Here is a 25377-nt window from a genome sequence, read left to right as displayed (position 1 = left end):
GTGATCTGCTTGCAAGTGTGCATGATTAACACAGATACAGTTCCGACTGGGAAATTTTTTTATTCTAAATATTTGTTCCAATAGTACCAGACAATTTGAAATCAATAAACTGTGGTGAGGACTGTGGTTTTTGAGAAATGACCAAAGTGTGTTGTGCCACGCCACCGGGCTTCCTGACTCTACCCATGAAGGACAATTTGCGGTCTTAATCCTTTATGTCAACTACAAACACCAGCCACGGTTACGACTGTTCAAAACTACTCTCTCAACTAGTTCAGACCAGGGGGACTAAGGAGGTGAAATGTGGCCCCCACGGCCTGGAAGCGAATTCCTAAGCTCGGCTGGATAAATCTACAAATATACACATAAATACATTCAGACAAGGATAAATAATCAGGGAACGAAATGACTCGCTTCAAATAATAAATACAGATAGTTTAGTCCGATGCAATCCTTACGGCACAGGAAGGAGAATATAAATTAAGGTCTCTGAAACTAAGCTAGACGCGGGCCAGGCCCAAGACTCTCCAAGCTCTGGTCCCTCTGCAGGGCGCGCCGCTGATGGGTCTCAGACTTACCTTTGGGACACCATTACCAGATTGGAGTCCCTTGGTCCGCAGTATGTGGCACTGTCAAATTTACAGGGAAGGATCCTTGCGGCTGATTTATGGCGAGTCACCCAAAGGACGCCCATGGAGGGGAGGCCCGGTCGCCTGCGCCTCCGCCGCTGGAGGCCTGAGACCCGGGAGGCGGCGGCAGGGCAAGAGCGGGGAAGGGGGTTCCCGAACTGCCCCGCGGGCCCCACCCTCTACCCCACCACTACAGCAAGAGAGGTAATTTTGCCGCGAGTTCGGGCTGGCGGCGGCCGCTACAGATGCGTCAGTTTGGGAGCCTCCGGCAGTCGTCCCTGAGACGAGTGGTGGGCCGAGAGATCTGTGTAGGTGGGATGAGGGTCGCAAGGTCCATGGTGGTGGTTGCCTGGAATCTGCGCGGCGCAACTGTAGTCCACGCTGGCCGACGACGGGTGCGAGAGGTGGCCCAGGTTGAAGACAGGCCCGGACGCGGGCGCCATGGACTCGACGAAGTTGCCGCCCACGTACACCGGGCTGCCCTGCAAGTTGGCGCTGGCGAAGCCGCCGCCGTTGCTCGCCATGGGATGGGGCTCGAACTCCGGCGCTGCGTAGCGCTTCTGTTGTGGCAGGCAGCTGCTGAGTGGCGCCGTGTAGGCGGCCAGGCCGTACATATTGGGCTGTGATTTGGCGAAAGCAGGCGGCGAGGGCGCGTCGTAGGCCAGGCCGGGCACTGGCGGCAGCTGGCCGGAGTAGGCCACGTGGCCAGCGGCGCCGCCGAGCGGTGGGCTGCGCTCAGGGGACTGGCTAGCCGGCGAGTGCAGGATGCCCTTGGCCTTCTGGTCCTTCTTGTACTTCATGCGCCGGTTCTGGAACCAGATCTTGATCTGGCGTTCCGTGAGATTCAGCAGGTTGGCCATCTCCACGCGGCGCGGCCGGCACAAGTAGCGGTTGAAGTGGAATTCCTTTTCCAATTCCACCAGCTGCGCGCTCGTGTATGCCGTGCGTACCCGCTTGGATGCTGGGCCTGGCGGGCTCTTGTCCTCGCAGCTCTCTCCTGGGCAGGGAGGGAGAGAGGGAGGGCGCTGAGCGAGTGGGTGGGGACCCTCAGGACTGGAGAGGGGTGCTTCCCTGGTTCTCTTTTCCTCCTCCCTCCCCCCACCTCCAATCCTGGCTGGGGAGGGGAAGGGCCGTTTGAGAGGTATGATTCCAAGGGGGAATTCACCTACCTACCAACCCCCTACTAGGCCTACCTATCAGTCGCACCTGAAACCTCCATCAGCCTTCTGAGATCCAGTTCACTCTGCCCACCCTCTCCCCTGCAGCCTAGTCCATCATCCCATACCCACCCAAAGGCCATGAAAGAGTTTAATGAGAGACCAGGAGCAGCTGGTAAGGCCTCCCTCTGTCAAAGAAGGGCCAGACTCCTTTGAACACTCCTCCCAGCCTCTGCTGCCAGGGGTGGGGTATGGAGAAGGAAAGGAAGAGGAAATAGCTCCAGCCTGCCTTGCTTAGGAGCTGGCCTCTGGGCAAAGCCCCCCACCAACCCCCAGCAAAGTATGGGGATGGAGATCTTGGCGCCCCACTGCAGCCCAACTGCACTCAAAGCCAGGGAGGTGACAAACCAAAAAATAAAAAATAAAAAAAAACCAACCAAACAAACAAACAAAAAAAAACACTGCCTGGGTATTTTAGGGAGTCCAAGGCCAGGCTGGAAGCATTTTGAGTATTCACAGTGCTAGGAGCAGCAGCCTCAACACTGGCTTTTACTACCCTGCCACCTCTCAGCTGCTTGTCCACTCCCTCCCAGGGAAGACAAATGGATTTCTCCTGGGAGGGAGGGCCTGAGCCTGCAGCTGAGGAAGGAGGGGCAGGAAAAGGAGGTTGCAGGCAGGATAATACCCTCTCCCTAGGAGCAGCAGCCCCAGAAAACATCAGGCAAACCAGATCCCTGATAGCAAGCCACACCCCAGGCCCCAAACTTGCCCTGGACCTGGAAGCAAGTTCATCTACCTGAAGATAAACCACATCAGATACCACAAGGTCAGAAAATTTCAGGAACCAAGCAGTCTAAGCAGAGAGAAGGAACAGCCCTCAGAGTTCCTGGCCATGCCTATCTTCTACATGCCCTGGGTGGACCTAGAGAAGGCCCCAACTGGAGGGGCTCCCCTTCCAGTTAGAGAAATCCAAGGCTGTTACTGTCTCCCAGAATATCCTCTCCTACTAGGACAGGCACCTCCCCATTATGGATTTGCTGGAGTGGGAGAATTGGGCTGAGGTGGGCCAAATAGAGACTCATGGTTATGCTTAGCAGCCCCTAAAGCCAGACTGACTGGATTCAAATCCACCACTTTGCAGTTTCAGAATCTTGGGCAAGTTGCCTATCCTCTCTAACAGTTTTCTTATCTGTAAAATGGGGATGTTATCATATACCTACCTCAAAAGGTTCTTTGAAAAATTAAATTAGATAATGCTTAGAAAGTACTTAGTATGGTACTTTCTAAGACTTTAGTTTTTATGAGTTTAAGGGAATGAGATTCGTGTGATATGGGCTATATAATCACCTAGGCTTGGGGATTGTAATACCTATCTTCAAATCTTGAAGAGCTGTTGGGTGGAAGAGGGAATGGAGTTATAATTAGCAGCCCAGGAAAACAGATATGCCCATATAAGGAAGCACTCTCTATTAATAGCTATAAGACCTGTCCAGCAACAGCACCAGCAGCCTGGAATGGAAGGGAGCACCCTGTCACTGCAAGGTCATGACCCCAATCAGGAACACTAAAAAAAAGAACATTTTGACGTGAGTAGGAGTTTAGACATATGACCTCCAAGGTTGCATTTCCAGCCCTGACTAGGCTTCCTTGGGTCAATCTGGAGGGGGCTTGGTCTGGCAGTAGGCCACCTCAGGGAGCTACCTGCAGTGGCACAGCTGTTCTTCTGCTTGGAGTTCTGTCGAGACTCTTTCATCCAGGGGAAGATCTGCTTGCTGATGGTGGCTGAGGAGCTAGAAGCATTGGGCCCACCTTTGGGCTTCTTGGCAGGCACTCCACCTCCAGGATTGGTGGGTGAAGATGGGGGCAGGGTCGGTGGTGGAGGAGGGGGTTGTGGTGGCTGCTGCTCTGAGTTCAGACCAGGAGGCTGGCTGCCACCACCCCCACCCTGGCTGTTCCCAGTGCCCGGCCGCATGCAGCTGCCATTGAGTTCAGCTCCTTTGTGGGCTGGGGCTCTCAGAGGGGCAGAGCTCTGGATGGAGCAGGCAGAACCTGGATAGTCAGTGTCCAGGGAGCTGGCAGCAGCAGGGGGTGGGTAGGGCTGGTGGGGGGTGCTGTAGCCGTAAGTGTCCGTAGTTTTGCTGTAGCCATAGCCTCCAAACAGTCCTGGGTTTTCATAGTAAGCAGCCTTCTGCATTGTGCACTCAGGAAGCTCCAGGGCCTGCTGACCCTGCTCAAATAACATTGACTACCACTGTATCCTTCACTGCCACCTCCAATGTCTGCTGAATCCTGAGAGAGCTGGGCCGGCCCCCAGGCTCCAGGTGACCTGTCAGAAGAAAAGCAAGAGGCCCCAGAGGGAGTGTCATTGGCAAGACCAGTCAATATAGAAGGACTAGCCCATGCTCTCTGCTTCCTACCCACTTCACGGCGGGGAGATGGGCAAGGTGCTGGATCTGAGTTTATTTACTTATCTATTTATTTATTAATACAGTGTCTTGCTTGTTGCCCAGGCTGGAGTGCAGTGGCATGAACATGGCTCACTGCAGCCTCAATTTACTGGGCTCAAGCGATCCTCCCACTTTAGCCTGGTATTAATAGCTATTTCAGAGTATTTCAAAGTCCCAGCTATTCTGCAGTATTAATAGCTATTTCAGAGTATTTCAAAGTCCCAGCTATTCTGCAGTATTAATAGCTATTTCAGAGTATTTCAGAGTCCCAGCTACTCTGCAGTAGCTACAGGTGCCCACCATGCCTGGCTACATGTCTTAGTGTTTTGTTTTGTTTTGTTTTAGATGGAATTTTGCTCCTGTTGCCAAGGCTGGAGTGCAGTGTCATGATCTCAGCTTACTGCAACCTACGCCTCTGGGTTCAAGCAATTCTCCTGCCTCAGCCTCCTGAGTAGCTGGGATTACAGGCACCTGCCACCACACCTGGCTAATTTTTTATATTTTTAGTAGAGACAGGGTTTCACCATGTTGGTCAGGTTGGTCTTGAACTCCTGACCTCAGGTGATCAACCCGCCTGGGCCTCCCTAAGTGCTGGGATTACAGGTGTGAGCCACTGCGCCAGCTCTTAGTTTTTTTTTTTTTTTTTTTGTAGAGACAGGGTCTTACAATGTTGCCCAGGCTGGTCTTGAGTTCCTGGGCTCTTGTGATCCTCCCGTCTTGGCCTCCCAAAGTGCTGGAATTACAGGCATGAGCCACTGCGCCTGGCAGATTTTATGAAGTTCAACTTATTTGAACCTCTGGAAGTATCAGAAGGAATTTTTCCTAAATGTAAGAAGAGTTTCCTTCTTTTTAGCTCAACTGTAGCTGAGGGAAAGGGCTTCCCTCTACCTCCAGATACAATTTACTTTCTTCAAGATTGTCCATTTAGCCTTTCTTCTGTGTGGAAAAGTACTTATAGCCTCAGACATTTTGTTGGCTGATTCGCCCACTAAACTGTAAGCTCCTTGCAGGCAGGGGCTGTGTCATTTGTCTACTGTTCCTAACATCCAGCACAGTGCCCTGCATGTAGTTAGTGCAATAAATGCTTGTTGAATAGGTGAATTAATAAGTGGATCAATCAGTCAATCATTGGGTCAGCACAAGGTTTTGATGGGAAATGAAAGTCCTATAACATGCTCAGAACAGCCAGAACTTAAAAAAAAAAAAAAAAAAAAAAAAAAAAAGGGTCTCCCCCCACCTGGTTTCAAAATCACAGCATCTTGCATGAAAGTCCAGATAGTCCACTTAACGATGACAGGGTGAAAATCAGCTGAGTAAGCTCTATGAATCAGCAGTGTAAAATCTACAATGTAGAAAACTAGGGGATAAACACCAACAGGAGGACTTGCAGACTTCCAGACTCATTTTGAGGCTAGAAAATGTTTCTTCTCTTTCATTTACATTTTTCTAGACCTTTTACTTTTGACCTCCCCTACTTTTAAACAGATACCACTGGAAATGGGCAAAGAGATCTAGAATTTGAAATGCATGGAACATGGGTGAGTGGAGAATGCTTTATAACTTTATTATTTTTGCCTTGGATCTATTGTATAAATAGATATTATTGACATCTGCTCTGGATAATCTATTCTACCCTACCTCCCACCCAAACCACAACCAATGAGAGAACCTTTCATGACATGATGAATGGACCCAGAATTAGAAGAAGAAAAAAAAGCTAAGAAAAATCCTACCCCTTTTGTATTCCCTTCTTTATGGGGGTTTCCCTTCTCTCCCTGCCTCCCTACTTCTTCTGAAAGGCTCCTAAAGAGTTAAAGTATAACTAATACCATTCAATCACTTTGTCTGTTTGATAAAGAAAACTCATAGGTCAGCTCCCTGGTCTCAATTCTTGATCTGTCTTTCAGGCAACTTTCCTTCCTAGAAACTCTCCCTGGCTTCCATCCTGGTCATCATGATGTACCACATCATCTAGACAGCTTATGTGGCCTAATGGATTTGACCACAGGTACCAGAATGATTCACTAGTTTTCCCTCCACCTGCACCAAACAGCCTAACCCAAATTTTAAAATTCTTCTAATTAGTCTTTGGTAGGTAGTGTTGTTGCCCTTTTTGTTTTGTCTTGTTTTAGAATATAAGTGAGTATGCCATTTGTCTTGATGAGGAACAGGCCCTTAATACCAAGATACTATGTTGTAGAAATTGTTTCCATTATTGTTCTTAAATGTATGTAGGTAGGATATCTACTTAACAAAGCTGGACTTAATTTTTCTTTTGATTAATTTTATATATCATTCTCTGTTAAAAGTTACTGGATATCAAATGGACAGCTAAGTCTTCATTCTGTGACTAATACTTACATATGTTTGCCCCCTGCTGAAGAAAGAGGCACTCTGGATTTGGTTATGTTTCAGGCTTTTCTGGTATCCTGCTTTCAGTCTTAACCCTCTGGAGGCCTAATGGTCACATCGGACACTCAGACTACCAGAACTTGCTGCTGCTCTGTCATTCCATTTACAACTGTGGAAGCAAAACATTCACCCTCCTGCCTCCCAAGTTGACAAAGTTGATCTAGATAGGTGAACCAGTCACGTTAAAATAGCTTACTTAGGAACTGACCAGTTCTTCTGGGACAGATGGCTTTATATATATATTTGCTTCTATGGCATATTCCTAGAAAAAGTTCTGTGTACAGACCTCAAAAGTACAAACATTGGGCATCTTCCTGAAAAACCAGAGTCTGTTTTCCTAACTGTTTACATTGTCTCAAGAAATTTCCCACTCAATGACAATCCACTACCTTAATGTCCATTTCCCCAAAAGCAAGAGCCAGTGATGGTGCTGTCCTTACTGGAAATGGCTTTGCAGTCCCCCAAAAATGCAGTTTCCCAAAAGTGATCCCTCTTAAAACAAAACCTGAGAATATAGTTACAAAACTGGTAAAAAGGCTTATTTCTTTTCAGAAATCCCTACTCCTTGTGAACTCTGCTTGAACCTAAAAAGCAGGAACGGGTCATAAATCACTTGGACAATGGTCAACTGTTCAGTGGCTCATCTTTTCGATCACCCCCTCACCCTTTTTTTAAAGCCTTTCTTTTCTCGCCCTTTGGTACCTTTGCTCATTTGGGCTCCAAGACCCAAATGTCTTGGGGTGAAGATGAGCCAGTGTTGGGGGAGGGGTGGTCGAGCACGGCTTCTCATTTCTTCCAAGTCCTCAGCTGCCCTTTCCTCTCCCTCCTCCTCTCCTCCACCCTCTAGCCCGGGGAACTGGCCAGGGCAGCCTCCCCAAACTCCGCCGGCGCCATCCCCTGCTCCTCCTGGGAAAGGGGTGCCAAATAGGTCTGGCTCGCCCTTTCTTGCGGTGCTGGGAAGTTGCCCAACTCAGCTTGGAGGCCCAACCGCAGGCCCGGAATACAGGGCCAAACGGTCTCCTGCCGGAAGGAAGGTATTCTCTGAGCGGCCACCGCCCGCTTCCCCGGGCCCGCCGGCCCGCCGCAACCGCTGCGCCTCCAAAGCAGCCGAACCCTGATACTTGCTCACCGCACTTAATGCTACTAGAGATCAATACCTAATATGATACCAAATAAATAAAAGGCGCTCACAGCGACCAGGGGACGGGGTTATTAAGCAGCTGGAGCTCTCACGGTGCATATCAATGCACCTGTCATTGTGGTTTGTAGCAAAATTTATGACTGCGACCACGGCGGCAGTAAACGCTTCGGTAAGGAATGAAAAGAAAAACACTTCCCAAGGCCCGGCACTTTTCAGCAGTGGAAAGCAGGCTCCGCGTAGGAGGCAGCGCAGCAAAAGAATTCCCTACTCCGCACTTTTCCCGCTCTTGCACCCTGCGAGCAGCAGGATTATATAAAGTGACCGGCGCCTGCTTCTGCTAGCAGCTCTGCTCGGCGGTCGGAGGCGGGACGAACGCGCGCAGCCTCGCTGGGGACCAAAAATCTGCTGCCCGTGGTGGCCTCGGACGCCGGGAGGCTAGTCCGACTTGCGGAGGCCGGCTCGGCACTTGCTTGTACGCCGGTGGCAGTGGAAAAGCTGAGGGGGCTTGGGAAGGGAGGGGACACCAGGCGCCAGGCTGTGACTAGCGCTGCAATCGTCGTAAATCACCGACGGGTAGAGTCAGCCCATCCAAGTTGAAAGAGAGGGGGAAGGCGATGGAGGTTGCGGTCAGTTTCTCTCAAAATCCGCTAGTGCTCGAGCTGGTCTCGGCGCCTCCCCCTGTTTTGCCTAAACCAGGGTCAGAAGCCCACGGATCTCTTTCTGGCGGCCAAGACTTTTGCTGAGCATCCCCACGAATTCACTGGAACCGAGCAACGATTCTCCCTTTCCTGTTGGCTTTGCTACTTCGGGATTCGAAACCACTGGTTTTTGGGTTTGCTCGAAAGGAGACTTCTTTACGTTCCGCCCAAGTTCTCCCGATCTCTAAGCTTGAGCCTCTTTTGCTCTATAAGAAGACCTGGACGCGCCTTCTAAATCACTCTTATTTAGCCCAGATAACTCAATACTGTAATGCACCCTGTATTTAAGGCACTGGGCTTGCCCCATTAAAGCGCCATAAATTTGAAGGCCAATGATCGGTTTTCATGTAACGGGTGGTACTTCATACTGAAGTGACCCACTTCAAAGCTGCCCTTTGTTCTATGTCTTGATGTATGAATTTTGAGATGGCCACCTTGAGTTGCAGAGGGAAATGTACTGGAAATTATTATTTAAATGATGCCCACTCACCACAATTATGTATGTGTGTGTTTTCTTGAATTTTGTCTTTATCTCTTTTTTTTTTGTAGGCTCTTCAGGTTTCTTTTGATATCTGTGGAGGCGAATCTGGAACAAAATGGAAAACTCTCAGTAGCAGCCGGTTCTTGCTTACAAACACTTACATGTTGAAGGGCTTTTCCCACTTGAAGGACGTCATAGTCAATGTGACTATTGTATATGGTACCCGTGACCATCCAGACGCCTTCTCCCCGGCAAAACACAGACTCAGTTGGCTCCTGGGGAGCGAGGGCCCCTTTAACGCCAAAATCCATGGCTGGATGGGGGAGGGGAGAGCCCGGACGTGAGGGAAGCGCCAGACCCTCTAGCCAGGTGGGTCAGAGGTGCAGGGAAGCCAATCTGCTCTCCTCCTGCCCCTACCAAATTCTAAATGCTCCTCCAGGTCCCAATCCCGGAAGCCAAACACTCTCCTAGGGGCAGAAGAGAGAGACCGTGCAGAATTAAGGTGGGGGTTTGGCAGGGGAGGCTGCAGAAAAGGGCACCAGGAAAGGAAGGTAAATAGGCTTGGGTGGATCTTGGTCAGGGGCTGCTCTACAGAGCCTCAGTGAAGAGGACCTGGGCGCTAGTTCCTGATTTATACATTAAATATATCAGATGCTTTCCCTGAGTTTATTCATTCCGGTAAGTATCCACCACACTCTTGGCCCTGGGCTGCCCACTTCTGGGTCAGGATCAGACTGCAAATCGCCTAAGAAACAAACATCCTTTCCACCCCCACCCAAAGCCACAGACCAAGCTCCCCCACCACTGTCACCGCTCAGCGGGTGACCACCCCCCGTCAGGTGAAAGGAGAGAGACAGAGTCCCCCTCTTGCATCTGCCCTGTGCAATTTGTCGACTCAGTAGTTTGCGAGCACTAAACTACACCCGGGAAAGCCTCACACAAAGCGTTCCCGGCGCTTCTAAAGACTAAAGCGCGCAGCCATAAGCCTTTGAAGTGACCTTTGGCTCGCACCGCAATAACTCACCCCTTAATGAACACCCAACAGAAGCGCCTCGAAGAGATCCCAGCCCGGTAGGGCTCCTAACTTCGCGCTGCGGCTTCAGCTTCCCAGCCGGCCTGGACCCAGGGGGAAAAGCCACTTGCCCGCCCCCCTCCCCCAAGCGCTCTTGGCTGGGCCGGGACCTGAGGGTGGTGCGGTGGAGGCCCGAGGTACCAGGGCTCTCAAGCCAGCTGGTCCTGTAGCTGCTTTATATAATACATTCACGTGGGCGGACGTCAACTTTCGCCGCTTGATTATTTTTTATTTATTTATTTTTAAAAAAGAGTTCTTTAGAAGTAGGAGCATCCCCTCAAAAGAAGAGCTAAGTTGGGAGGTCACCCGGGGCCGCCACCCCCTTATGCCTCTAGCTAGATTTTTCTTTTTCCAGCCGCGGAGGAACAGGGTAAGTTTGCGCCTGGGGGTTCCGGGGTGCGCGGTGCGCTTTGAGCTCTTGGCGTAAGAGGCTTGGGAAGAAGAAAGGAAAGAGGACCCCAAGTTAACCAAAGTTGGACCACCAGAAAAGCCTTCAGCACCTTCTCCCACGCTCCCTACCCTGCCCACCCACCATCCCACGCGGGTCCAACTTTGGCTCCTTGTTTGCCCAGATTCTCAGCCTTAACCGGGCTGGCTTTGGACCACCAGCACTGGTGCTCTTTCTGGAGCCAAAAACGGGAAGAGCAGGAAGGAGCTGCGTCCGTGAGCTGTCAAGGAAGAGCTGAGTCCAGGCAGCCCCAACCCTACACCTCATCCCTCAGCAGCACCCTAGGAAAACTCTTTAGGATAGGGCCAGCGTGGAGCCTTGGTAGGGATTATTGAAATTTTCGGGGGAAGTTATAAGTGAATGCTCCATGGGGCCAAATGAAATGCTACTCGCGGTAATTGGATTCAGCTGACTAAGCTGGCAGGCGCGCAGCTTCAAGGCAGCTAGCAAAGAAAAATGTCCAGCGACTTTCAGTTCTGATGAAGCCAAGCGCAGGAGATTGACAAAACAACTTTACTGCTCTCTTATGATGGCGAAGCCCCTGGAAGTCGGTTCCTCTCCTGCTAGGGCCTGTCCCAACCTAAGCTAAGGGAATGCTCCTTGCTTTTGAGGTTCTTTCCCCATAAAGGTCCGGTTGGGTCTGGCCCAGTGGCATTACCACGAGCATGGAACCACTCACTGGAGCTCCTGGAGCTGCTCACTCCATCCCTGGCACGGAAAGACCCGGGATGGGTTGTCTTCTCCTCTCCCAGCCAGTAGCCACAGGGAGCAAGTAAACAAAAGGAGAGATGGGATTCGTGAACCAATATATGATTTAGCTTTCATTCAGGGTTCTTTGGGGAGAAGGACCTAGAAACACTAAACCTTTTCTCTGCCACTACGGCAATCAAAAGCCTGGATTGGTAAAGGGAAATGTGGAGGAACCTCCCAAACTCTTCTGGGTAGTTTGGAGGTTCTCTCAAATTTTGGGAGGAAAAGCTCAGTAGCGTTTTAATCTCCCAAGAAAAAATTAAGCCAACAGCAAGAGGTAAAGGCTGTGTGTGGAGCTCGCTACCGGAACAATGCAGGGAGCTGGCTGACCACCGAGTTTATTTTAAATACATATAAATCAACCCGCCTGCACCCAGCCCGGCAGCTCAAGACACAGAATTAATATGACGCTCCATCTTACTTTGGCAGTAAAGTGTAAAAAAGTTTTAATTTCTTTTTCAGCCCATTCTCCTAAGTGCACATTTAGCCCCCAAATATTTCCTCCAGCACTCAATCCCCTCACCAGATCCCCTCCTTAAACTGCTACTACCACCCCCAATGCTGCCGGCCACCCTCCAAGCCTGGCAAGGTAGTGTCCTCCTAACCCTTTGGTAGGCGGGGAACGTCCCCACAAAGCGCGCCTTGTTACGATTAATCACCGTCCTCCATGTATATGTAGCAGTGTATCTAGGTCTACGCGGGCTGCCTCACCAATTGGCAATAATCAAGATCACAGATTACACAAAATAAATCATATTTAATATCCCGCTCAGGGCGGCAAGCAGCCCCGTGCCCAAAGATTTCCATTTTGTCATGCAATTGCTTACCTGGATCCCAATTTATCATAAACCTGGTGTCCTCGGCCTCAGAGTGGGCGCCAGTGGGGGGCAGAGCTAGCCTTCCCCCTTTGTCTGCAGACAACACTGTCCCAACCCTGGTCTTGCGCGCTCGCAGACACGGCCATATACTCGAGCACACGGAATTCCCGGTAGAACGGAACCAGGCTGAGGTTCAACTACCAATAAACGCAGGAGGAACGAGTTCGTAGTCCCCGAGCTGGCTTCGCCTGCGCTGCGCGCCCATCGGTCCACCCGCCCGCCCGTCCGCTCTCGGGCCCAGAGCGGCAGCCACCCGCGCCCCCACCCACTCCTGGGTTTCTGCCCAGCCCTCCCAGGCCCCCCAGAGCTTGGGATTTGTTTTGCTTGCGGAACGTGGTCGTTTCTGGATTTGGAGAGAGCCCCGGAAACCCCCTCATAGTCGGGAAATACAGACGCTGCCTTCAAATGCAAGCATATTTGTTCACGTGACCCCGAGGGAAGCTTGTACTGATTGAGGCTGAAACTTTCACGCCACCCAGTCCCGGAGCGCAGCCAAGCCTGGGGGCTGGAAGGAAGGGCGCAGGAGGCTTGGGACCTGGGCCCCATTCCTGGGGCAGACGCGGATGGGTGTGGGGCGGAAGGAAAGAACACATTTTCGCAGCTCCGGGCCGACTCAGTCTTGGCCTGGCCGCCCTCAGTGGGTTGGGGGCGTTGAGAGTCTCTCCCCACAACGACCTCTGACCCTGGCTGGGCCTTCCGCCAGACTGGTCCGGGAGCTGGAAATTTTAGAAACTGCCTCTCTTAGAAGCGTCTCTGGAGACTGCCGTGGAGCAGCAGAGGCTGAGGGTACCCCTAGCTTCCCGGGCCCGCGGAGTACTCCGCAGCCTCATGCACCCCGGCAAGGCGGCCTCCCCGCCGCGGAGGCCGACGCCCAGCTCCTCCCAGGGCGAGGACCCGCTCCGGCCCAAAGGTGGAAGCCGCGACTCTCAGCTCTGGCCAGTCACCTCAGAAAACCCCGCCACCACCACCATTCCGTGGCTCGTTCCGCGGACTCAGCAGCCGAGTCACCGCCACTTCTGAGACAGAAAAGGCGCGTAGCAGGCGACCCGGACCCAGAGCGACCTCCCCTCTCTGATCCCTGAGCACCCCAACCTGGTCCTTCGAGGCCTGGAGCCGCCTAGGCGCTGAGCCACTGCCCGCCGTGATCTGTGCGACTCCAGGTCTGGGCAGGACCCGCAGATCCCACAGGCCCAGCAACCGCCAAGCCGCGACTTCCCGCTTCCTGCGGCGCCTCCAGGAAGGCGAGGAGGACTGCGCAATGAGTCCTGGCTGGGCTAACCTGGGGGACAATGAAACTTATATTTTAGAAATATTAAACCAAGACAGATTCCCACCACTCTCCGAGTGGCTGGTGGGAATGATTCTGCAATGTGGGAAAAAAGAATTAAGCGTGCCAGCGCCAGCAGCGGACCTCCTGGCCTGTAATGAGCGCCCAAGACCCTCCCCCAGCCGGGGCCACACTCGGGAATCCCGCACCACGGGGAACTCTCCACCCTGTCCCCGAAGTTTTGGTTTCGTTGCCAGCTCTGCTCAGCGGCATCAGGCACAGTGAAATGCTCTGTTGCTGATTGCAGGGTCTGAGACCGGTGAAAGTGCCCAGCAGCCATAGAAGAGCCCCAGAGGAGTGGGTAAGGTCCACCGCATCCCCACTCCAGAGGCGCAGGAATGTCCTGGAGGCCCGAGCCCCCAGAACCGTCTACGAGCCCATCCTTTTGTTCACCTGGCCGGGCCTGGCCAGAGGCCCACTCGGGGCGTCTCTCGAAGCCGGATCGTGGGTGACCCCAGCCCACCCCCACCCGGAGGACCCCGCCCCCTAGCCTCTTGCCAGAGGCCGACCTGACGGCCAGCAGCAAGTGTTAATCCCCAGCCAAAGAGGGGGGCTGCTTTGCGGGAATTTGTCTCCAGGAAAGGATCTAAGCCTTCTTCAATCGGAGCATATGTTCATAGAGCAATAAACCGGAAAGATTTACAGTCCTCGCCCGGCCCCCAACAGTCTCGCACCCTTTCAGGAATTACTTACGATGATTTATCACACCAACCCGGGCAATTGTCACACTGATAAAATAGCCCGGGCCAGTGCCCGCCAAGCCGGGGCCTTGGGAGGCTGTTGGCTGCCGGGCTGCCAGCAGGGCTGGGGAAGCTTTTTGTGGGTTCCTCTCTGGGCCTACAAGGGGATATCTAGGTGGGTTGGAGTGGGTTGGAGTGGGGGGGGTGGGAGGGGAGACGATTCTCATTGAGAAAAATGCAAGCAGCTCAGAGAAAGCGCCTGGAATCTGCGCCCGAGTCACTCGCAAAGCACATAAACATTTGTCATCTTTGAATAATTGAATTAATGTGTTATTGTTTGAATGTATAATTCATAATGGGGGAAACTTTGTTTCTGTCCTGACGGGGAAATATACACACACCAAAAAATAAATGAAAACACACACACACACAAACACACACGCACACATAATCCCAAAACAACCACCACGCGCAGCCAGCCCCTGCTCGCTGAAATCATTCTGAAAGCCAATGGAGGTATCTCACAGCAACAAGAGGGAAGGAGGCGAATGAAGAGGCGCCCGGGTCGGAGCTGCAAGCTGGAAGAAAAGAATGCTCGCTACTGCCCCAGCCCACGACCCTGGCAAGCTGGGGATGGGGTGGAACGGAGCGGAGTGGCTCTTAGGACACCCAATTTTCTTGGAGTGCCGGTGAAAAAAGGCAGAAACGGGAGCGAGCAGAGAAACAGCCTTCTGCAGCCCGCACTGGCCTCTCCCCCATCCTCCTTTCCCCAGGCTTCCCGTCGCCCCGGGGTCTCCCACTCGGGCTGCAGGGACTTCTTCTCGCGTTTATTTTAGCTCTTCCAAAATAGAAATAAAAAATACAAACACAAAAATAAACGGGAAAGAAGAAGAAACTCGCTGGGGTGACAGAGGCAGCAGAACTTGGGTGGGGAGAGAGGAGCGGGGGGAGAGGCAACTCGGAAATCATTATCTGTTGGTTAAAACCTGCCTGGGGTAAAATTTCAACTCGATTTTATAGCCTTCTATTATGACGCAAAGAAAAATTTACGACCCTCGCTTGAAAAGAGGGCCAGGGCCTTTTCTCACCGGTTTAAGAATAGGCGGCAGATGCCGTGACAGCGACCATTGTTCCTGGTAGACACAGGCGACCAGGCAACCTCGGCCCGCGTGCGCCAGGCGCGTCCGCCAGCCGGGCCGGTTTTTTACAACTCCTGTTGTCTTGGAGCAGCCCGCGTGCACCTCGCCCCTCACCCCTCGCCCCCTGGCACCCTAGCGCCTCGCACACACACCCTCTCCCTATCTCTGTCTCTGTCTCTGTCTCTCCCTCTCTCACACACACAAGCGCGCGCGCGGACGCACGCACACACACACACACTCGGCCGCTCTCAGTAATTTTTCATAAGTGCAAAGCTTTGCTGAACCAAAGGTCACCATCCAAGCCACTAACAACTTCTCGCCGGCGCGCAGTTCCAAATCAGGAAGCAAAGGGAACTATTTGTCAGCGGCCGTGACAGCTAAGTTCATTAAGGATTTAAATCTGATGAAATAAAAGTTGCCAAAATATTTACCTGCGGCCGCGCTCCCGCGCCCGCCGGGGGCCGGGGGTGGAGGGCCGGGGGCACCGCGCGGCCCCCCTGGACGGGTGATATTCTTGGGATCCCTGCACTTTCCAAGTCGGAGAGAGCCCTTTGCGTGGCAGATTAATGACGACTCCGTGTTTCTTAAGGGACGTGCTGAATTAATTATTTCGCCAATCACGTGGTCGGGACTTGTAGAAATCTATTCTTATCATCTTCCTCGCACTTAGAAAATTCTCCGGGTTATGAAAGGCCCTCCCCCGGCTGCCAGCGAGCCCCGGCCGCCCAGCCCGGCGCGGGGGGCAGGGAGGGCTCCCCAACATGGCGGGCAGGCGGGCGGGAAGCGCCGTCCGCCGAGGGTCCCGATTTACTGTACTCTATACTCAGCGGGCTCTGCTATGGACTCGCTTCCTCCTCATCCCTGCCCGCGATTCAATACACACAACGGTATTGATGTATTGGTGGGCACGGGAGGAGCCATTAAGCAGAAGACGGGCAGAGGACAATCATAAAATGTGTCTGAATATTTAAACTTCTGCCTGCGCACTTATAAATACACATGTCCACGCGTCTGGGGCAAGCCCTTCCATATATTAAGGACAGATGTCTGATTTTATGCATTCTGCTCATTTCCTGTCTGGAACAAGCACCCCCATCTATTTTGGGACTCCTGTCTTGGCCCCTTCTTCAAGGCGAGGCCAAGATGTAAAGAAGCCCTTGCGGTAAATGTAGTGCAGGGCACTTTTTATAGTGGGGAGTGTTTATTGTTGCCTGAGGGGTGGAGGGGGCGCGGAAGAAGGAGGGGCAGGTGCTGGAGTCCCCACAGGAGCTTAACAGTACTGGAAAAGTAGAAGCCCAAGAGTGGAGGCCCGGGGGTCAGGTCAGAGCAGCCACCCAGGAGCCTCAGCTCGGCCCAGAACCCAGCACGCTCTCCCTGCCTTAGGGGTGGGGGACCAGTAAGGTGTCTCATCCACCACTTCCCAAAGACTTCCTCTGAGGGCTTCCAGACCAAAAAGGTCTGGGGCCTGGCCCGGGCCCAGCAGAATGCCAACCTGGATCCCCCTATTAACCTGGGCAATTACTTTTTCTTCAAAAAATTAACACCCAACACTCTGTACCCTGAATTCAACCCCAGGCTTCCCAATGCTCACAAAATATGGTGGCCAACTGGGAGTGTGTGTACATTAAGGAGGTGGTAATAATAGAATTGCTAAGCCTTACATGGTTTAACCTTCACACTTTAGGCACCCCCCAAAAAATGGTGCCTAATTTATTGCAGAAAATAATAACTTGTTTATGTTAAATGTTAGCTTTTAGAAGACTTAACAAAGGATGAATGCTTCTGTTAAGGCACCAAACAGGAGGGAGATTTTGCTACACCTTTTATTATTTTAAATATAGATCAATGAATTACATCAAAACTACAAGCAACAATTAGTATAAATAATACTTTAATCAGTGGCAGCAAAACATTGGTCAATTCTATTAAAAAAGCATCTCGTGTGAACAGACATCATGGGCTGACTGACAGTGTCATCTCCCAACAAAAGGCTGCGATGGACAAAGTGAGATGGGAGTCAGAGGAGCAATGTCCTCAGCAAACACTTCACTCTCCCCCTCCCCCAGTCAGGACCCCAACACGGTTTTTGTTTTTGTTTTTAAAACACCAACACAAACACTTCTGGCTCATATTTAAAGGAACAAACTGGAAACAAATAATAGCAAATGGGCATTGGAGCTTTTCCACACCTAGCTTTCTCCAAAGCACGTTCTCAGATGGAAACCCATTTCCTTCCCTGCCCTAAGTGGTTACGGGGCCCTACCCCTTCCCTGGCCCACTCCTGTGGGCCCAAATGGATGCTGGGGTCCGACTGGGACCTCAGGGTTGGGGGCTGCACTCTGGGCCATCCAGGCTCCATTAACATTTCAAAAGAATCCCTCCAAGCTGAGAAGGAGAGCTGAGACTTATAAACAAAGAAGTTGTTTCTCTGATTAAGTTACTTTCCAAAGTAGTGGGGCTATGTTTGAGAAGGAGCTTGGGTTTTCCTCATGAAAACATGTTTCTTGGCTTTCCTCTGGGGCAGGGATGCAGTCAGTTAAGCCTGTGTGGCATTTGGTATGAAACTGGGGGTGAGTAACCTGAACTTCTGAGGTGGGGGAAAATCTATACAACAAATCTCTATTATATATATGTAATTGGATGTTGTGAAAATATATACCTTTTTCCCCTTCTCAAAGAGAAGGTTCAATGTATAGACAGATTTGGGTTTTAGGAAAGCAGCTTAGCAACTTTCCAACTTGCCTAAGGATAGCGGCTCCTTTCAAATGGTACATCCAAAGACTGCTCTCCATGTTAGAGAGGAAAAAAGAAGAGAAGGGTAGTTAGAGTCCAAAAGGTTAGGGGTTTAGAGGTCAGTCCTCCCGGCTGAAATACAGCTAATCAAATAGAAAATTTGTCCTCTGGATGAACCTGATTCTGTAATTTACCCGAACTTCGGTAAAATACCTTTTCAGCTTCTCAACGTGAGGGCGTCAGAAAAAAGACGTCTTGACTATGTATGAACTCTGTGCTTTTTGTCATAGAAACAATGATGTGAATAATGCACGAATATCCATCTTTAATATCCCGACGTGGTGACATTCAAGTATTGCCATGTGCAAGTCTGAGAGCCAGGCTCACCCCAAGGAGAAACAAAGAGCAGTCCCCAGGGTCTAATACAAAAGACCAAGGCTTGGAAGACACTTCAGAGAAGCGGAATTTCAGCCTAGGGACTGCAGTGAATACCTGCCCTCAGCTCTCAGGAGACACAGCCAAAGAACAAGCCTACAGAGAAACTCTTTTTTCCCTCCCACTTAAATATATTTTTTAAATTACAACAGAAACCTTCTAAAGTGTTTTTGAAGTACTGAAAAAAATACCCCCCTTCTGGATCTTAAAATTAAATTTTAAGCTTATCCTTTCTCCCTTTCCCACTTTGGTCACTTTTTGATAGCTACAACCTTTTTTGGAGCCTGAGGCCTTGGGAAGACTGGTTTCATCTGAGTATATGAACTCTGGCCATTAACTTTGACTTCTTCCTCCTTATGCTTGAGGGTCAGCATTTTAGAAAAATGAACTTTGAACCCTTCCCAGGAGAGGCAGAAGAAAAACGACTAGAGGACATCTCCCCTGTTGAGAGTGATTCTTTAAAAAACCACTATTCTCAAGGCAAAGACGAGTGCTTGAAAACTTTTATACTTTTACAAATTCTGCTTCTAATTAATGAGCTGAGGAAAACTTCCTTAGATTTGGTTTTTAAAAAAATTAAAACTTCAGGGGGAAAAAAACTCTAAGGCTAACTTTTGTGGACTTCTAGATTCAATTAGGGTTTTTTTTTTTTCCTTCTTAAAGCAAGAGTTCCTCACCTTCCCACTTTCTCCCCACTGCACAGCCCCTCCCCTACACAGGCCATACACTAATTCCTGTAAAACACTGCTATATGAGGGTATTTAGGGCATTTGGAATCCAGTTGGAACAGAAAATTCAGTCATTATCTAATGACCCAGTGCATAGAGGTTTTGTTTTCTTTCCCCAGAAGGAAAATGTTGGACCATTTGTTGGTTTTTTTCCCTTTCCTTTAATCACCCAGAACTGGTTGTAAGCACAGTGCTGAAAAAAACACATGTGGAAATATATTTTCAAGAATGCAACTTTGAGTGAATCCTTTGCTTCCTTCTGGAAGGGTTAAGGCCCCCCTATATACATTTCCAGAGAGTGGGGAGGGGTGGAGTTCAGAAGTAAGTGCACATATCTCTGATTCTGCTCCCTGAAGTTCAGCCCCTTTCACCTTTTTAAGATTTTTGGCATGAAGGTGTCAGTTATTTCTGTACCACATTTCCCAACAAATAAATATTTAAGCAAATATCTAAACATAAAATAACCCATTTTTACTTCCTTCTTAGACCCATTTCTTTGGAGGTGGGGCCACTGGGAGCAAAATATATATTTTTTAATCACATGAAATTCCATAGACAACCCAGAAAGTCCAGAAATCCTGACCCAGCTCTCTGGCTTCCACTGAAAGCACCTAGCACAGGGGTGGCCAACCTTCTGCCTCAACTCCCCCACATTATTAAGCCACAAAGCACCCTGGAGGGGTGGAGTGGGGGAGAATGTCCAAATTCACAGTGGGATAAAGCATCCAACCTTCATTTGCAAATTCAAAATCCAAGAGCGGTGATTTTCATAAGTTTAATGACTCGCCAAGATTTTATGTTCTCAGTAGCTCCTGCCATATAATATACTTAGAGAGAGAATCCCGCCCCCCCTCCCATCCCCATCCCGCTCTAGGGAGGGGGCTGCCCTCGGGCAGGATGCTAACCTAGTCCGAGGGCGGCCTGCTTGTCCCAGGTCCACCCCACAGTACCTTAGAGCCCAGCGAGGTGACAGCAGGCCCGGCCTGCCCCCGCAGCTTCGGCTCAGCCTGGTGCGCAGGGAGAGATGGGCCCAGGGTCCCCACTTCTATAAGGTCGTCAGGTCCGTGTGGTGGTCTTTGGCCATCGGCTGTAAATGCTGGCTGGGGGCGACTGAGGAGGAGCAAGATGAGGAGGAAGATGAGGACGATGACCTGCCTTTAGTGTTGGGCAGCTTATGATCTTTTTTCCACTTCATCCTCCGGTTCTGGAACCAGATCTTGATCTGGCGCTCCGACAGACACAGGGTGTGAGCGATTTCAATCCGACGGCGCCTTGTCAGATACCTGTTAAAATGAAATTCTTTTTCCAGTTCTAGGACTTGCTGCCGGGTGTAGGCCGTTCGGGACCGCTTGGGTTCCCCACCGGTGTAGTTGGGGTTCACTGCGAGACAAAACAGACAGGACAGGCAGGTCAGCGCCCGGCCACTAGTTAGGCCCCTCGCCTCCGCCGCTCACTTCCTGGCGCGCCCCGAGGCCCGCGGCCCTCCCCGCGCGCTCCCAAGCTCGCTTGCTTCCTCCCTCCCGCCCTCTCCCCGGCGCACACGCTCACTCCCACCCACCTCCTCAAACACACCCACATACCCCAGGCTTGCGGGATCCCCAAATGTGCTCCTTCTTCTGGGCCCACCACCAGGTCCGGAACCCTCAAGCATTTTGGAAATCCCCCGCTCCTCCACAGCCTTCCCCCTGCTCTGAAAATGGAGTCCTCCCCCACCCCCCCATCCCCACCCCCTTTTGCGCCCACAGCCGAGCAGCCAGCCACATGGTCCTGACCTGCTCCCTCAGCTATAAAAATTTATGGGGAGAGTAATTGCGGCGCCCATGGAAGCTCCACACGCCCCCACCTACTCGCACCCCCTTCCAGAGGACCCAGGCTAACGGGCTGGGATGTGGACAGAAAGGTTACTGGACCCTAGCCTTACCCGAATTCACGTGCACCTTCTTCATCCAGGGGTAGACCACGGCCGGCTGCTTGAGTGCCGTCCCGGAGGGCGGCTGCTTGGGGTCGGACTGACTGTAGGCCCGGGCGCCAGGCAGGGGCGCCGGCGGAGGCGCCGGGGGAGCTGGGCAAGGCTCTCCTGGAGCGGCGTAGTGACCGCCGGGGCCGCCTGGCTCTTGTCCGTGACCCCGCGCAGGCAGCGCCGAGCCAGGCCCGGGGCCGCTGCCTCCGAAAGGCTGCTCACCGAAGTCGGGCCGTGGGTAGAGCCCCGGGGGCTGGAAGTCTGCGCCCTGCGCGCCGCCGCCGTAGTAGTCGGCGCCCTGCTCGCCTAGGTAGCCGCCCTGCAAATACTCCTCGCACGGAGGGAACTTGGGGTCCACATACTTGGAGTTCACCATATACGAACTCATGACCATTAATTTCAGAAGGTAGAAAATACTAATTTTTCTCGTGTTGTCTTTTTTTCTCCTTCCATAGGGCCCTCCTACTTGCTGTCAACTGAATAAAGTTGGGCAGCCATGTGACCAGGCCAGCCAATGGCGAGGGAGCAAGTTTATCACCGGGTTGGTGAGCATCTCATAATTTTCACAAATTTAACTAAATAACATACGTGTAATCAAGTAGCTTGCTATGGCACATTTGAGAGCCCCTGCCAGATATTAATGTAGTTCCAGTCCCCAGCACCCCATTCCCCTCAGGTAATCCCAGCTTTTGTCTGCCACTGATTTTGCCAACCTTCCGTGGCCCTTCCACTCACCCCCAGCTGAATGCAACCCCCGCCCCCCGACACCAAGTAGGCACAGCTCAAGGGAGAATGAATCCTCCTATTGGGGTACAGAGCAATGAAAGGTGGGTGGGTGAACTCGCCTCTGAGTTGGGCAGAGTGCCCCAGGCGAGGAGGGTTCCTGCCTGCCCGCCCTGCCTGCAGCCGGCGGGAGCAGGGATTCTGCCATACAAAGGCCGCCGTCCTGGCTTTGTCTTCATCAGGGTCACCCAAAAGTTACCAGAATCTGGCCAGCTTGAATCAAATTAGGCAATGAGTAACCGCCATGCTTTCTACCAGTGCCCAGGCCCGGGGGTTCCCAGCCAAAGCTGGGCCCTGCCAAAATAGCAGGGGGCCCTCGCTGCCCTTGCCCATGTAGCTGGGGGTGGGCTGGGATGGTGGCAAGGGCACCTCCACCTTGTCAAAATGCACCCTAGAGCTCCCCACTGGGCTTCTTTGAAGCTTGCTTTCTTCCCACAGGCCCCAAATACAAGCAAGCCCCCATTTGGGTACCTTTGCACCTCATGTTCCTGGAGGGCAGAGCTGGGACTGGGCAAGCTGGCCTTGTACCTCACTCCCTAGTACCCCAAAACCTAGCCCTTTGGCCCTGCATCCATGCAACCAATTAGGCTTGCATTCTCTCTTTCTCTCTCTCTCTCTCTTTCTCTCTTTCTGTCTTTCTTTCTTTTCAGCACCCAGAGGATACTCTGTTTAAAGGTGAGGAGCTTCTGGAGAGGAAAAGCTGCTCTATGTCACCAGGCGCAGCTGATCCTCCTGGAGTCCAAGGTAATAAAACAGAACGAGGCGGCTGACCAGCGCCGGCTGCTTCTAGTCTCCATGTCGCACTTTGGTCTCTGGCTATTCCGAAGAAACGTGAAGTTTTTGCATCGACCATATATTCCCCTAGAATCGAATCTGTGACTATACGGATACCACACAAATTCGGTTCTACAGGGTATATATAGACAACGTTACAACCTCTGGGTCCCACCCAGAGTGAGGTACCTAGGTCGCTGCCGGCCCCAATCTCTTCCTCTGAGCCACCACCGTTCGACGCAGCCACCCGCACTTTCTGAGACAGTTCAGGTAGCCTAATGGGCTTGGCGACAATTTGAAGCAATGAGTTCCCTCATTCTTCTGCCAGGGTCAGGGTTACCAAGCAGGCGAACAACCAGAATATTCTTCTTAAGAAAGAAAAAAAGAAAGAAAGAAAGAAAAATAATCCATCCCAAGGATGGCGGCTTTATTAACCACCCTCCCCCACCAGGATCCAAATAACCCTCCTCCTTACCAAGTGGTATTTTCCAGAAAGGAACAAATGCCCTCAGCGGCAGAAGAAAAAGAAGCGAGAGGGGAATATCCTGTGTCTACTCCTTTTCCTACTGCCCGACCAAGCCAGGTTGTCTGCCAAAGCTACTTCTCCAAGAAGTCGCGCATTTACCTTCATGGGCCCTGATCCGGGCTGGCCTCTCCGTTCCGCTGCTGCTGCAGACCCCGAGGCAGGCGCTGCTCACAGGCACCGAGCCGCCTTGGGCTGAGGCCGGCGCGCTAATGGTGAAGGGCAGGGCGAGGGGTCATTCGAAATCATTTACAAACATATCACAAACTTTCATTATTTTTGCTTTGCCGACAGCAGCACACAAGAGTACAAAAGTTCACAAATTTCACCCGCCCCAGCGCCTCGGCACTGTGCAGTGCTTGTCCCTCAGTTCAGGGCATGGAGAGCGCAGACTCACTCAGAGCCTCGATGGATTTCAGGGGCACAGGGATGCCCTGGCTCGAGTGGGGCTTTTGGGTGCCTAACTGTAGGCTGAAGGTGTTAGATTTTTTTTTAACTGTCTTGATTGCCCTTCCTACCTCCCACATAATTCAAAATTTAGTTTCAAGCCTGGGCCTGGGCCTGGTGGGGTGGGGCAGGGATACTCCCCCTCCAAGCCTGGCACTTTGCTCATCCCCCCATCCTTTGCTTCCACCACTTTACCTGTTTCGTAGGGATTTTGGGGGCGCCAGTTCTAACAAGGGCTATGAGGCTGCAGAATCTGTTTATCCCAGGAGAGTCCCCCCAATTTCCCTGAATGCCAAAGACTCCCAAGTATCCACCTTCCTGGGACACTGGGCCTAGGCTCTATCCAGACAAATTGGGGGAGCCTGCTGAGCCGGCTGGAGACCGGGGTGAATATACACATTTTCATATTTGTTAGACGCTGTGACCTGCATTTCACCTTATTGCTCGACTTGTTCAGACAGGTCAAAGCCAACGAGTTATTGATGAACAAAAGCGTTAAATATTCACCTCCCGCTCAACTGCCCATACTAATGCTTTTGATCTCTAGGGCTTTTTGTGCTGTGTTCAGCTACAGGGCGCTGAATGTGGGTTTGCTAGCGAGAAGCTTCTGCAGAGATAAGCACCCAGAGCCAGTGCAGGGGAGGAGAGAAGCAAGACCAGAGGTCCCCAGGACACCAGATTTTCCAGACTGGAGCCCAGAGCCCCTTTCACTTGAGCCAGCCTGGTGTATAGGGGTAGTTGCTCTTCTAGGGGTGTGCACAGTCTACAAAGGGTCGACTAGACTGCCCAGCCCAGCGGGGCCAAAAAACCTGTCTCTGAGGCCAGCCCCAGCTTTTCCAACCAAGAAGGAGGGAGACTGGTTCCTGCAGCCCTCACATATTCCAACTCCCATTAAAATAAAATCACTTCCGTTTTGCAGTGAGGGAGGGGCCACAGTTCTTTCTGTGACTCTCCCTCCAATACCATCGTCTTAATGAGATGGTCCTCCAGGAGGCTTCACAGGCCTAATCAGAAATGTACCTGTCTTTCGCGGCACAGGCAACTCAGAAAGATCCAAACATCCAAGCCAAGGATCCCACGAGTCTCTGGCCCCACCCCACCGCATCCACCCCACTCCACCCTCCTATGCCTCCTTGCAGCACCAGCGCCTCTGGGGCGGAAATTCTCCAACTGCAGTTACAGAGAAGCAGAGGTGAAAAGAAGGTCCGTATCCCTCCTCGCTCAGCCAGTGTCCCAAGCCCAGGGCCCACACCGCTGCAAACAGATCGGGGGAGGGGCGGGGAAGGAATGTCCACATAAAGCTCAGAAGCGGGCAACTCAACACACCCACGGCCACAGAGGATTGAGTTTTTGTTTTCAGTGAATTTTTTTAAAAACAGAAGGTTGGCCAGGCTAGACCAGGTTAAGAAGGGTTGGGCTGCGGAGGGGACCGCATTGCCTTGGTGTTTACTGCGTTGGTTTGAAGCCGCTAATAAGACAGGCTGCTAATTAGCAAGCTCTTAACAGAAGTGAGCGCCTTGGCGGAGCTGCACCTGTGCAGAGCAGGGAAGGGCCGCGAAGGTCTAGGGAGGCCCAAGGAGACAAGGGCGAGACCCCGCGGACCGTTCTCTCAGGCAGGTGTCTGTGAACCAGGCCCCAGAAAAGCTTTCCGGGACCTCGATTTAGCGCCTCCACCTCCCGAAGCGGGCTAACCTCGCAGAGCGAGGCCGGGGGTGGAGGGTGGGGGTGGGGTGGG

The 25377-nt window shown here is 51.9% G+C and overlaps 2 protein-coding genes and 1 non-coding gene across 12 annotated transcripts, besides 5 other annotated features; all 3 read right to left on the bottom strand.

The window, feature by feature from the left end:
- Positions 1 to 44: 44 nt before the first annotated feature.
- Positions 45 to 20614, bottom strand: HOXD3 (homeobox D3). 10 transcript variants are annotated; one of them, XM_047444087.1, is made up of 4 exons: positions 20106 to 20265; positions 8975 to 9070; positions 3488 to 4112; positions 45 to 1626 (listed from the first exon to the last, which is right to left on the bottom strand). In XM_047444087.1, the coding sequence occupies exons 3-4, from the start codon at positions 4026 to 4028 to the stop codon at positions 869 to 871; spliced, it is 1299 nt and encodes a 432-aa protein (XP_047300043.1). In that variant the 5' UTR covers positions 4029 to 4112; positions 8975 to 9070; positions 20106 to 20265; the 3' UTR covers positions 45 to 868. The 10 variants fall into 10 exon arrangements, with proteins under 10 accessions (XP_047300043.1, XP_047300046.1, NP_008829.3 ...); XM_047444090.1 differs by lacking the exon at positions 20106 to 20265 and adding an exon at positions 15691 to 15836 and having other exon boundaries at positions 7348 to 9070; NM_006898.5 differs by lacking the exon at positions 20106 to 20265 and adding an exon at positions 15691 to 15836.
- Positions 912 to 1522: an enhancer, noted in NCBI's record as "H3K27ac-H3K4me1 hESC enhancer chr2:177036349-177036959 (GRCh37/hg19 assembly coordinates)". NCBI's record gives its function as "activates a minimal SCP1, AML or CMV promoter by ChIP-STARR-seq in naive H9 embryonic stem cells {active_cell/tissue: H9 hESC(naive)}" and the evidence as "EXISTENCE:reporter gene assay evidence [ECO:0000049][PMID:30033119]".
- Positions 2328 to 2622: a silencer, noted in NCBI's record as "tiled region #15219; K562 Repressive non-DNase unmatched - State 21:Repr". NCBI's record gives its function as "represses a minimal TATA promoter and a strong SV40 promoter by Sharpr-MPRA in K562 cells {active_cell/tissue: K562}" and the evidence as "EXISTENCE:reporter gene assay evidence [ECO:0000049][PMID:27701403]".
- Positions 17373 to 17876: an enhancer, noted in NCBI's record as "OCT4-NANOG hESC enhancer chr2:177019995-177020498 (GRCh37/hg19 assembly coordinates)". NCBI's record gives its function as "activates a minimal SCP1, AML or CMV promoter by ChIP-STARR-seq in naive H9 embryonic stem cells {active_cell/tissue: H9 hESC(naive)}" and the evidence as "EXISTENCE:reporter gene assay evidence [ECO:0000049][PMID:30033119]".
- HOXD4 (homeobox D4) lies at positions 19917 to 21593 on the bottom strand. Its single transcript, NM_014621.3, has 2 exons — positions 21077 to 21593; positions 19917 to 20535 (listed from the first exon to the last, which is right to left on the bottom strand). Exons 1-2 carry the CDS (start codon positions 21507 to 21509, stop codon positions 20201 to 20203), a joined length of 768 nt encoding a protein of 255 aa, NP_055436.2. The 5' UTR covers positions 21510 to 21593; the 3' UTR covers positions 19917 to 20200.
- Positions 21141 to 21874: an enhancer, noted in NCBI's record as "H3K27ac-H3K4me1 hESC enhancer chr2:177015997-177016730 (GRCh37/hg19 assembly coordinates)". NCBI's record gives its function as "activates a minimal SCP1, AML or CMV promoter by ChIP-STARR-seq in primed H9 embryonic stem cells {active_cell/tissue: H9 hESC(primed)}" and the evidence as "EXISTENCE:reporter gene assay evidence [ECO:0000049][PMID:30033119]".
- Positions 22731 to 22840, bottom strand: MIR10B (microRNA 10b). The gene has a single exon (NR_029609.1). It is a non-coding gene; the product is annotated as a microRNA 10b (primary transcript).
- Positions 24403 to 24946: an enhancer, noted in NCBI's record as "H3K4me1 hESC enhancer chr2:177012925-177013468 (GRCh37/hg19 assembly coordinates)". NCBI's record gives its function as "activates a minimal SCP1, AML or CMV promoter by ChIP-STARR-seq in primed H9 embryonic stem cells {active_cell/tissue: H9 hESC(primed)}" and the evidence as "EXISTENCE:reporter gene assay evidence [ECO:0000049][PMID:30033119]".

The sequence above is a fragment of the Homo sapiens genome, chromosome 2, assembly GCF_000001405.40.
Source record: "Homo sapiens chromosome 2, GRCh38.p14 Primary Assembly".
NCBI classification, from domain to species: Eukaryota; Metazoa; Chordata; class Mammalia; order Primates; family Hominidae; genus Homo; species Homo sapiens.
The sequence above is the reverse complement of the archived record's forward strand: the minus strand, read 5'-3'. Positions and strand labels throughout refer to the sequence as shown.